General features: G+C 43.3%; 1 protein-coding gene across 3 annotated transcripts in view, besides 1 other annotated feature; it reads right to left on the reverse strand.

Moving 5' to 3' along the window:
* Window positions 1–12,249, reverse strand: part of PDE10A (phosphodiesterase 10A) — a 660,764-nt gene that overhangs the window by 398,796 nt on the left and 249,719 nt on the right. The gene's annotated exons all lie outside the window — the stretch shown is intronic.
* Window positions 869–1,476: an enhancer, noted in NCBI's record as "H3K27ac-H3K4me1 hESC enhancer chr6:166140441-166141048 (GRCh37/hg19 assembly coordinates)". NCBI's record gives its function as "activates a minimal SCP1, AML or CMV promoter by ChIP-STARR-seq in naive H9 embryonic stem cells {active_cell/tissue: H9 hESC(naive)}" and the evidence as "EXISTENCE:reporter gene assay evidence [ECO:0000049][PMID:30033119]".

The following is a 12,249-nucleotide window of genomic DNA, read 5'->3' on the forward strand; positions in this document are numbered from 1 at the left end:
ATGTTGTATTCCTGTGCATAGGCAACGCAGGGAAAGGCAGAGAGTCGAGGAGCTGTGTAGTTGTGTTGGAGAGAATTAAGGGGTTTCCGGGAGCAAGAGCTGATCCCACCAGAACGTTGTTTTGTGCAACAACGTCCCAGCTCTTGGAGGAAACAAGGGAGGATCCAGCAGTTATCTATTCTCTAAAGCAAGCAAATAAATGAATTAGAAACATTTTACAGAAATTGGGAAGTATTAATGATGGGAAAAAATATACCCAGGAAACATTAAAAAATATTTTCCTGAGGAAAAGAATTATCCTCAACATTTATATAAATAGCTTTAAAATTTTACGTTAATAAGCATAGCTGGTTTTACAAGCAAGCAAAATAAATGACTGCCCGGATGACAGAATTCAAGCTGTGTCAGCAAAACCCAATGAGAAGAGCACGGGTGCCGAGCACCGGGGGAGAGGAGAGCCACGATGCCCGAGGAGAGCCACGATGCCCGCTCCCCCCGGTGGTCCACACCTCCTGACAGGCACCGCCTTCCGACGGGCCTGGGCCCGCATCCTTGTCTGTTCCTTTGTTGAGCAGGGAGAGTGTCCCATGGTTAGACCCCACCCAGCACTGAGAACCAGCTTCCTGGGGCCAAGCCGGCCCTCCCCGGCCATCTGCGGGCACCGGGAAGACAGGCCATCCTCTGCGGTTCTCCCTCGCGGGATCGAACCCGCAGTTCAGCGTCTTAACCAGCCCAGTTGCCGACCACAGGAAAACAAGCACAGATCTCCCTTTGGGAAAGGTCTCCACTTCACTCGTGACCAAACTAAAGATGACAGAGAAGCTCAAATGTGTCCCAAACCAGCAAACAGAAAACAGCATAAAGGAAGATGGATGGGCCGAGCCAGGCCACCACAGAAACGCCCCCGTGTCCACCCTCCTCGCGTGGGGGGTTCCCCTGGGACCGAGCACGTGGGGATTCTCCTGCCCTGCACCCAGGCTGCTTCCTCCGCCCAGAATCTGCGCGTGGGCTGGTTCCCCACTGTGCGTTTACTCAGCTGTGATGACCACACAGGAGACCCTGCCATGGGCCCGCTGAGGGCTGGCTTCAGACAGCAGCAGCGACCACACGTGCTTAGTGACTCAGGACGGAGGCGACTCCTTGAGAAGCCACACCGTTTTCCTCCTTAGAATCACGCGTATAAAGACGGGCGCCAGATTTCCCTTCGCTTAGGGTCACGCTTCTGGCTCACAAGCTTATGTGAGAGTCCAGTGTGCAGAGTTTGTGAGACAAATCCAGCCACCATCCCCTGCACGGTGTGGAAGCTGCTGGCTGAGGGAGAGAGAGGAGGCTTTCCAGGAGCCTGGGGCTTTTCAAAAGACAAGGCTAGATGCCTGTTCCTCCTCCTTCCTCTCTCCAAACAGTGTTCTGAGGCCAGGAGGGAATCACTAAAAGAAAATCTACCCCCAAATGACATAGAGCCCAGGAGAGGCCTCAGGGAGTGCACCAGCTCACCAGTTCCTTCCCTAAGGCTGAAGCCACCAGTGCTCTCCAGAATTCAAGATGCCTATGGAAATTTGCAGGGAGTAGATAGGAGGAAGACAGCCAGGAGATCAAAAGTAATTTAAAAATGAATAAGTCATTGGCTTTCTTGTCCAATCACTTGATTCATTGCAAGAAAAAAATCCTGGTATATTTGTTTACTTAAAGAAACATAACTTAAATAATCATGTTTCCAAAGAACAATGAAGACATTTTACTTTGTCTCGCTGCTTTTCATCTTATGCTGCTGAAATAGATACAAATCTAAGGCTGCTTTGTAAGTTTGCAAAAGTGAGCATCAGGAGGAAAGGAAAAAAAGAAAGGAGTTTAAATAGTTGGTTGTGTTGTGTTTTGTTTTTTTATTTGTTTGTTTTTGTGTTAAGAAAGACAAGTGGGTCTTGGTCTTTAGTAGAAAACTAGGAAAAAATCCAACAGTCCGAGCAATAGCCACCCACCCCCAACATACACACCCTTTTCAGACAATGTTAGAGTGATGACATTGGGCAGCAGGCAGGAATTCTACCTGAGCACAATATTTTCTGATGTCCTCCTCCCAGAAGTGAAATGTGTCTCTGACAGCCCTGCCAGAGCAGGTAGGGCCCCTAGTCATGCTGCCCTTGGGTAAACATCGGGACTCTAACTCATACAGCTGCTTTTCTGTGCACCTTCAGAGCAGCTTCTGATGCAAAACCAGAAACATGCAAATCATCATCATGCTGGAGTGAGGGCACACATTTCAATGGATTCATAACACTCAATTCTCCTCTCCCTTCAGTAGGGACATGCTGGTGCATGGCACTGATCCAATTCAAAGACTGGCTTTCCTGCTTCCATTTGGAGCTTGCCAGAAATAATACACATTTTGAAAAATGTGATGGTTTGAAGAAAAAGAATCTGTTTGCAATTCCAACTTCCCAATTATCACCATGCAAAAAACTACCACGCAAGATGGCAATATGAGAATGACTGCAAAATCATCAGAAGAATTGGGAGAGTGAAAAAGAAGGATGTCAGAATAATGACATGTTTTAGGCAAAAATGCATTTTTAAGCCATTCAAAATGTAGATAAGGTACACAAAAGTGTAGAATATTCTGATATAAGACACCAGGAAAGGTGGCCTCAGCTTCAGGGAGATTATGACCATACCCAAAGACACAGGCACCTGCAAATACAATTTAAACCACTTTTGGGGCCAAAAACAAGACTTGTCTTTGGGGCTTGAGATGACCTCTGACTTCTCAGTTTTTGAGACTTTGCTTTACTGCCTAATTTATATTATGTAAGAGTTATATATACACATAATTGAAAAGAGGAAAAGTTGTCACTTAGAATGAAATTAAGAAGAAATAGGAGGCCATGGAGGGAGGATTGCTTGAGCCCAGGAGCTCAAGACTAGCCTGGACAACATGGTGAGACCCTATCTCTACAAAATGCAACAAAAAACATTAGTGTGGAGTGGTGACATATTCCTGTGGTCCCAGCTACTTGGGAGGCTGAGGCAGGAGGATCTCTTGAGCTCAGGATGTTGAGGCTGTAATGAGCCATGATCATGCTACTGCACTCCAGCCTGGGTGACAGAGGGAGACTCCATCTCAAAAAAAAAAAAAAGATTTCCAGGAAAATTTGATTGTTTTCAGTGAAACCGAATATCAACCTTTTTCAAATGGAAAAATCCCCAAAATATGGTAGAGATTTAATTTTTTCTGCCCAATTCTATCCTCTAACTTAAATATATAAACAGATTAAACATTTTTTGAATAAAAATATTTGGATAAATTACTTGAAGCAATCTTCTTAGACATGGAGAGTTGGAAATCTATTTTTAAAAGGATTATATTGGGAGATACTAAGGACAGCAGTGAAATAATAAATAAGCACTACCTGCTCCTACCACAGGGGGGCAGCAACCCAAAATTCACCCAATTTGGGCACTTGGATGGGTGACCCCGGGCCCCAACCACAGGGATCCACAGTTCTGGTGGATTATTGCATTAATAGGAAACATTGTATTCCTAAATCTTCTTTATAGATATTATAAAGCCATATGCTTGGGGAGGCCCACAATACTAATTAATTTGCAGGTCAGCCTTTTAAACAATTACAAAAGAGCAAGCTTTGAAAGTCCTTGTATCTATTTGCTATCAAATATTTCCTACAGTGGCTGTGGATTACTAGGCAGAAAAAAAAATCCAACCCAGATTATTTTAAAGGGAAGAACCAGACTAGCTTCAGACTTTCAGATAACATTGCAAGCTGGAAGAGAATGGAGCAATTTCTGTTGTTTTTGATTGAAAAATTATCTATGCAGCCAGCCAAGCTATCTTTTGACTGCAACGGAAAGACTTCCATATATTTATATACATATATATCACCAAGAAATACGTCACCTGTATATCAATCTTGAAAAAGATATACAAGAGATATCTTGGAGATATATACGTATATGAATACATATGTGTATCTATCTTGTATATCTATCTTGAAAAAGATATACAAGTGACATATTTCTTGGAGATATATATGTATATGAATATATGAAAAGATGATCCCCCTTCAAAAAAAAAAAGCCACTGAAAACAGAGGACTGGGTATAGAAACATGGTAGGGAGTTCTGAGACTAAGTGACGACAGAGCTAAGTGAAAATATTTCCTTCACAGTATTTCCTCTGTCGTTTCTACTGAGAGTTCAACTTATTCTACCAGGCTGAATGTAAAAGCCATGTGTTCTCTGAAATCATTCCTTATCCTCGGTTCCCGTGTCAAATAAATCACGTCCCCCATCCCAGAGCATTTTCTCTATTATCCTGAATCATAGCATGCATACACAAATGCAAGCATATGTCCAATTTTAAAAGATGACAAGGCCGGGAGAGGTGATTCACACCTGTAATCCCAGCACTTTGGGAGCTGGAGGTGGGTGGATCACTTGAGGTCAGGGGTTCGAGACCAGCCTGGCCAACATGGTGAAACCCGGTCTCCACTAAAAATATAAAAAATTAACTGGGCATGGTAGCGCATGCCTCTAATCCCAGCTACTCAGAAGGCTGAGGCAGGGGAATCGCTTGAACCTGGGAGGTGGAGATTCCAGTGAGCCGAGATCATGCCACTACAATCCAGCCTGGGCGACAGAGTGAGATTCCACCAAAAAAAAAAAAAATCCGGGCCCGGTGGCTCACGCCTGTAATCCCAGCACTTTGGGAGGCCGAGGTGGGTGGATCACAAGGTCAGGAGTTGAAGACCAGCCTGGCCAACATAGTGAAACCCCATCTCGACTAAAAATACAAAAAAATTAGCCTGGCGTGGTGGCGGGCCCCTGTAATCCCAGCTACTCCGGAGGCTGAGGCAGGAGAATCGCTTGAACCAGGGAGGCGGAGGTTGCAGTGAGCTGAGATTGTGCCACTGCACTCCAGCCTGGGCGACAGTGAGACTCCGTCTCAAAAACAAAAAGCAACAATTAAAAAAATGTCAATTGTACAGAACCCACGCCCCATGCCGCGCCGCGGAACCCTGCCGCATCCCAGAACTGCCGGAGCTCCCTGTCCCTGCGGCCTCGTGGCCCCCGGAGGGAAGCACCGTCTTGTGGCTCCTGGAGACTCGATAGAGAACATGATGGGCAAAAATGAGAGACAAGGAATCAGGAAACTCATGAGTCAAAACACACTGAGCCCTGTACGGGGGGAAAAGTGCCCTGTATGGGGAAAGTGCTATGGAAAAATGCGTGTAGGGGAGGGAAGTCGGAGCTCCAGGGGCAGGTTCTGGGCGGCCTGGGTGGAGAAGACGACAACTGAACCTGAAGGAAACGAGGAGGAGGTCCTGTGAAAGTCTGCAGAGAGAGTTCCAGGCAGAAGAGCCCAGGAGAAAGGCCCGAGCTGCCGGCACGTTGGAGGAACGAGAGGTGCATCTGCGGCTGGAGCAGAATAGAAAGAGAAGAGTGAGGAAGGGGCAGCTTTCCAAGCTTGATTGATCCAGAAAATACTGCGGAGCCGTTACACATTCAACTTCTGAGTGGCCACGGGCTAGATTGTTGACACTTTCTGTACTTCTGGGTTCTTATTTGCAGGAGGGAGACATTCCATAGGGTTGCCATGAGGCCTATGAGTTGAGGTATTAAAACACTTGGACTGATGCCTAGGACTTAGTGAGTGCTCCAGAAGAGTTAGTGACTGTCCTCATATTAAGTTAGGTCAGCAGAAATTTCAAGATTTTATATTACATTTTCAATTGCCAACAAGAATCCAGGTAAGAAGCAGGCAATAAAATGGCCTCTACATTTTTGGTAAAACTGCTAATAAGGATATGCCCATGTTGTTCAGTTCCCTTTTTGTGAAACTCACAAAATTAACTTTTCTAAATTTACTTTTGGCAGAGAATATTAGCGTTCTTTTATAAGAAAATTACGAGTGTACCCAGCCCTGTCACTGGATGCACCACTGGATAAGCGCCCCTTCACTCAGAATGAATTAACGTGTACTGTTTTCTCTTTTGCCATGACCATCAGGAAGCTGAAGAGAGAATCCTTTGCTCAGCTGAAGTGAATGCATTTAAAGCTGGCTTTCTTACGAGAACTACCTGCCTCTCCCTTTTATTGTTTCATGCTTTGTTTCAATGCTTTTCCACACAGGATTTTTATGATTTAAGGTAACTCAAAATGATAACCTGGCCGTCTTTCACCTATTTTACCACCTCTCTTTCGGGATTCTGATGGTGTAGGGAGAAGTCAGGGCTGGAAGCTGACCTGCCCTAGAGGTGGGGCAGACCCTGGGGGCAGGTGGCCGAGCCACACAGATGTGCTGACTTCTAGAATCATCAGTGAGCACCGCGTGGTCACAGATCTTTTCCTTCACCCAAGCCGTCCAAGAGTTGTGGCGGCACACAGTCGCAGGTGGGCGACTCCACTGGAGAGACACAGGCTAGACTGGAGCTTTACCAGTCACCACACAAAATCCAGCTCATCACATCCACCCTATTGAGTGAGCAGGCCAGTCCATCTCTAACCATGTCATTAACATGAGTGGGCTCATTGCTGAAGTTACACTCCTCACACTTTGCAAATTTCCAGATGAGGCAACTTGGATGGAACTGGGAAAGCAGAAAATGTTATTCCCTATCTGGTCCCAGCGTCACATCCAAAATCTCCCAACAGTAGCTCTGGAGTCTCCACCTGGCATATGAGCGCTGTCCCAGTTCTGACTCCAGCTCTTCCCCGTTAGGATCTCCCCAGGGCTTCTCAGCCCCATCCTGGTGAGTGGCATCTGTCCGCTGGCCACCAAGCACAGCTGGCCTCCGCAGAGCCAGGGCTCTCCTTCGCGTGCTGGTTTCTTTCCCAGCACCTGGACTGTGGCCTGGCTCTCAGGTCCCTGGTTCCTAGTGACAGTTCTCTGGGATGCCAGTTGCCTGTCTGGATGAATAACTACCACCTGCCCCGAATTCCAAAGGTTCTCATTGCCAGCGGAGCCTGCATTCTTCCAGAAACGGCGTGTGTTTACATACCCAATGCATTTCCAGTCGGCACTGTGAATCCCAACAGCTTTCTGGCTCAGTGATCCTAGTAACCCTGTCCTCAGCCTGTGGAGAACCTCCCTAGCCATGTTCCACCCAGACCTGAGATACAACAAATAATCCAACATGGACCTATTGTATTAAAGGTATTCCCTGAAGAATATCTGCAGCAGGATTTACTTTTCTTATATATCATTTTAGATTAGAAACAGCCTACTTGTGCTGGGGCAAGGGGGAAGCCCCTTCCTATTTCCTGCTGCCCTTGTGTAAACCAGTAATTTGTGGTGTGATCCGATACTGTTTTCAGTGCTGCCACGCTTGAGCTGCCCGGTCTTCATTTTCCATGAAACAGACTTTTCTACTAACAAAGTAGCTACCACAGTATGCAAAGGTGTTGTAAGGATAAATGGCAATGTCTATAAAGTGCTTGGAGTTCTCTGAATAAAAAGCACAGTAGAAGAATAGAGCATTAGCACGTTATTATTCTCATAAAGGGTGGGTGGAATTGCAAAGATAAATCATGTCAAAGATGTAAGGGAACTTAAAAGTCTGAGACTTTAAAAGGCTGGGATTATTAAAACACCCAGTTGTTTGACAGGAGAAAATTAAACTGTTCTCTTGTCTCAAAGACATAATGCCACTTTCTCATTACTTAATGCACCCCACAATCTCTTCTTCCTGCACCAAGCTTCCACTGAAGTCAGGAAAGCTCTATCTATAAAGTTATTGTATAGGGACACTGTAAAGTGACAATCTGGTCTAGGAAGAAAAAAAAAAACTGGGCCTTTTGGTCAATATCAGCACCTCTAGTTATGGTTACACCTAGGATCCAAAATGTGACATCCCTACACTCAGACAATTTAAAATTTTTGCTTATAGAAATGGCATTTGCTTCATGTGTGTGCACGATGGGGACAGGGAGCTGAGCAGCTGCCTGGAACCAGGACTCCAGAAGGGCTCCATTCCCCAGGAAAAATGAACGTAGAAGGACCCATCTGCTGGAAGAGAGAGACTGCAAAGGACCATCTCTCCTCCTGGTGTCTTGGTTAAAGAAAAAGTGTTGATAAAAACACAATCCTCACACCTAACATGGATCTGAATCCCAAACTCATACAGTATCTTCATAGTGTGAGAACCCACACTGGGTGGGCTTCGGGGAGGTGACACGCCTGGGCCACCTCCAGGAACAGAGAAGAACATTGCCACCACCCGAGCCACACACATGCTTCTCACAGAAAAAGACGTCAGAGTAAAAATGATGAGCCAGAAGGGGAAGATACACAGGAGAGAACCTACAACAAAATGAAGGTTAGCACTCCCAGAATTTCAGAAGCTAGAACAAGCAAAACATCTATAGGTATTTTTGAAATTCTTAGAAAAGGATCCAAAACCATAATTTAAAAAAACTTTTGAAGAAAAGAACAGGCAGATGTGAAAAAGAACCAAATAACAGTTTCTAGAAATAAAAATACAGTTACTAAAAATGAAGAATGAAATAAACAACATATTGGATAAAATTAATGAGAGAGAGTTAGTGAATGGGAAGGTGGGACTGAGGCGTCCCCAGAGTGTGGCCTTAGGGTAAGGAGCTAGAAAATACCAAAGTTAAGAGACATGGGTACAGAAGGAGAACTTCCATCATATTCTTAATGGGAATACCAGAAGGAGAAAATAAGGAGAATGACAGAGATGATGTTTTCACAGAGCCAGTAACAGATAATTTTAAATATTGTTGAAAGATAAGAACGCTTAAATTGGTAAAACATAAAAGGTGTAAACAGTATTAATGTGTTCATTCGGATTCTGTATTAGGATTATCCACAGAAACAGAACCAATAAGAAAGTAGATAGATAGATAGATAGATAGATAGATAGATAGATAGATAGTAGGTAGGTAGGTAGGTAGATAGGTAGGTAGTTAGGTAGGTAGATAGATAATAGGGAGGTAGACAGATAGGTAGGTAGGTAGGTAGGTTTGTAGGTAGGTAGATAGGTAGGCAGGTTGGTAGGTAGGTAGGTAGGTTGGTAGATAAATAGGTAGGTAGGTAGGTGGATCAATAGGGAGATGATAGATCAGTTGCTAGGTAGGTAGACAGGTAGTTAGGTTGGTAGATGAGTAGATAGACAGGTGGGTGGGTAGGTAGGTAGGAAGATAGGTAGATAGTAGGTCAGTTGGTAGGTAAGTAGGTAGGTTGGTAGATAGATAGGTAGGTTGGTAGGTAGGTAGGTTAGTAGATAGATGGGTAGGTAGATAGGTGGGTGGGTAGGTAGGTAGGTAGGAAGATAGGTCAGTTGGTAGGTACATAGGTAGATAGGTAGGTAGGTTGGTAGATATATAGGTAGGTAGATAGGTAGGTGGGTAGGTAAGTAGGAAGATAGGTAGATGAAGGTATTTATTATGAGGAATTGGCTCATCTGATTATGGAGGGTGGCAAGTTCAAGATCTATAGAAATGATGTCCCTGTTTGAGTCTGAGGGCTGGGAGCTGCTGTAGAACCAGGAAAAGCCAATGTCCAAGTTCAAAGGCCATCAGGTGGGGGAACTCTCTCTCACCTGGGGGATGGTCAGTTTTTTGTTCTGTTCAGGCCTTCATCTGATTGGATGAGGCCCACGCACATGGAGGGCAATCTGCCGTACTCATTCTGTTTAAATATCTTCCAAAATCACCCTCACAGAAACATGCAGACTTATGTGGAACCAAATATCTGGGCATCTGCCCTGGCCCAGTCAATTTGACACATAAAATTAACTGTCACAGATTCCTTATTTGTGAAATTATGAATCATCAAAGACAAAGAGAAAATTTAAAAATCACCAGAGAAGAAAGATTATTTGAATCTGGGCCTACAGAGAGTCTTCACCAATCAGAATAATATCTTCAAAGTTGTGAGGAAAAATAAGCATTAACATAGACTTTTTTACGCTATTATTCAGGAGTAATGGCAAAATAATGAGTATTACAGTAAGGACAAGGGCTAAGAGAGTTTACAGTTCCTAAATCATAGTTGCAGGATGTTCTTTAGTTACATAGAAGGCACTCTCAGAAAGAAGTAGGTGGCAAAAGTAACGGCTGCAAACATATGAGTAAATCTAAAGAAACTGTAAAAAGGGAACATTATGACATCAGTATGATGGCAGAATAGGAGTCTCTAGTCCCCTCATAGATACATCCATTTGAACAACCATCCACATGCAAAAATGGCTTCATAATTGCTAAGGAATCCAGGTGAGAAATATGTGCTTCTGTAGAGCACAGAAGTAGAGATGCATTAAAGAGGGTAGGAAGGACAGTTTCACATGATGTCTCCCAAGCTCAGTGTCAAGAAAGATACTCCTCCTGGGGGAAGGAGAGTGAAGTGAGCACCAACTTCACTGTGGACCCCAGCGCCAGGCTCATGCCACTGAACCCTCGTGCAAGGCTGGCCTCCCAAGCTCCAGCCCCAGGCTCTTTGACCAATGGATCAAAGAAGAAATCAAAAGGAAAATTTTAAAAATCTTAAGACAGAAATGGCAACACAACATACCTAATTTATGGGACTCAGCAAGAGCATTCCTAAGAGGGAAGTTACCATGATAAATGTCTATGTTAAGGAAAAAGAAATACTTCAGATAAATAACCTCAACCTCACTTCACACTTCAAGGAACTAAAAAAGAACAAACTAAGCCCAAAGTTAGCAGATGGAAGGAAATAATAAAGATCAGAGCAGAAATAAATGACACTGAGACTAGAAAAACAATAGAAAAGATCAATGGATCTAAGAGTTAGCTTTTGAAAAGTTAAGCAAAATTGACAAACGTTTAGTTGACTAACAAAAAAGAGCACACTCAAATAAGCAAAATCATAAATGAAAGAGGAGACACTACATCCGATACTACAGAACTACAAAGGATCGTAAAAACTACTATTAAAATTATATGTCAATAAATGGCATAACCTGAAACAATAGATAAGTTTCTAGAAACATACCACTTGTCAAGGCTGAATCATGAAGAAATAGAAAATCTGAAAAGATCAGTGAGTAAGGAGATACAATCAGTAATCAAAAGTCTCCCAACCAAGAAAAGCCCAGGAGCTCATGGCTTCATGGTAGAGTTCTATCAAACATTTAAAGAATTAATGCCAAGCCTTCTCAAACTTTTCTGAAGAAGCAAAGATGAAGGAACACTTCCAAACTCATTTTATGAAGCCAACATTACTTTAATACCAAAGTCAGACAAGGATACTACAAGAAAAGAAAATTTCAGGCCAATATCCCCGATGAACATATGTGCAAAAATCCTTGACAAGATACTAGGAAACCAAAATTAGTAGCACATTAAGAGGATTATTCACCATGATCAAGTGGGATTCACTCCAGGAATGCAATGAATTTCCAAGGAATTCAACATGTGCAAATCCATAAAGGTGATATACTACATTAACAGAATGAAAGAAAAAAATATATGGTCATCTCAGTAGATGCAAAAAAGCATTTGACAAAATCCAACATCAGCAAATTCAACATGAAAACAATCTTCATGATAAAAGCTCTCAACAAGGTGGTATAGAAGAAATGTACCTCAACAAAATAAACCCACAGCTAACATCACACTTAGTGGTGAAAAGCAGAAAGATTTTCCTCTAAGATCACGAACAAGACAAGGATGCCCACTCTTGCCACTTCTATTCAATACAGTACTAGAAGTCCTAGCCAGAGCAATTAGGCAAGAAAAAGGAATACAAGGCATGCAAATTGAACAGGAAGAAGTAAAATTGTCTCTTTCTACAGATGACTTGATTTTTTATAAAGAAAACCCTAAAGACTATACAAATAAGACATTTAGAGCTAATAAACAGCTTCAGTAAAGTAGCAGATACAAAATCACCTAAAAAAGTCAGTCCCACTTCTTTTTTTTATTTTATTTTATTTTTTTATTATTATACTTCAAGTTTTAGGGTACATGTGCACATTGTGCAGGTTAGTTACATACGTATACATGTGCCATGCTGGTGTGCTGCACCCACTAACTCGTCATCTAGCAATAGGTATATCTCCCAGTGCTATCCCTCCCCCCTCCCCCCACCCCACAACAGTCCCCAGAGTGTGATGTTCCCCTTCCTGTGTCCATGTGATCTCATTGTTCAATTCCCACCTATGAGTGAGAATATGCGGTGTTTGGTTTTTTGTTCTTGCAATAGTTTACTGAGAATGATGATTTCCAATTTCATCCACGTCCCTACAAAGG

The sequence above is a fragment of the Homo sapiens genome, chromosome 6 (assembly GCF_000001405.40).
Source record: "Homo sapiens chromosome 6, GRCh38.p14 Primary Assembly".
Lineage (NCBI taxonomy): Eukaryota > Metazoa > Chordata > Mammalia > Primates > Hominidae > Homo > Homo sapiens.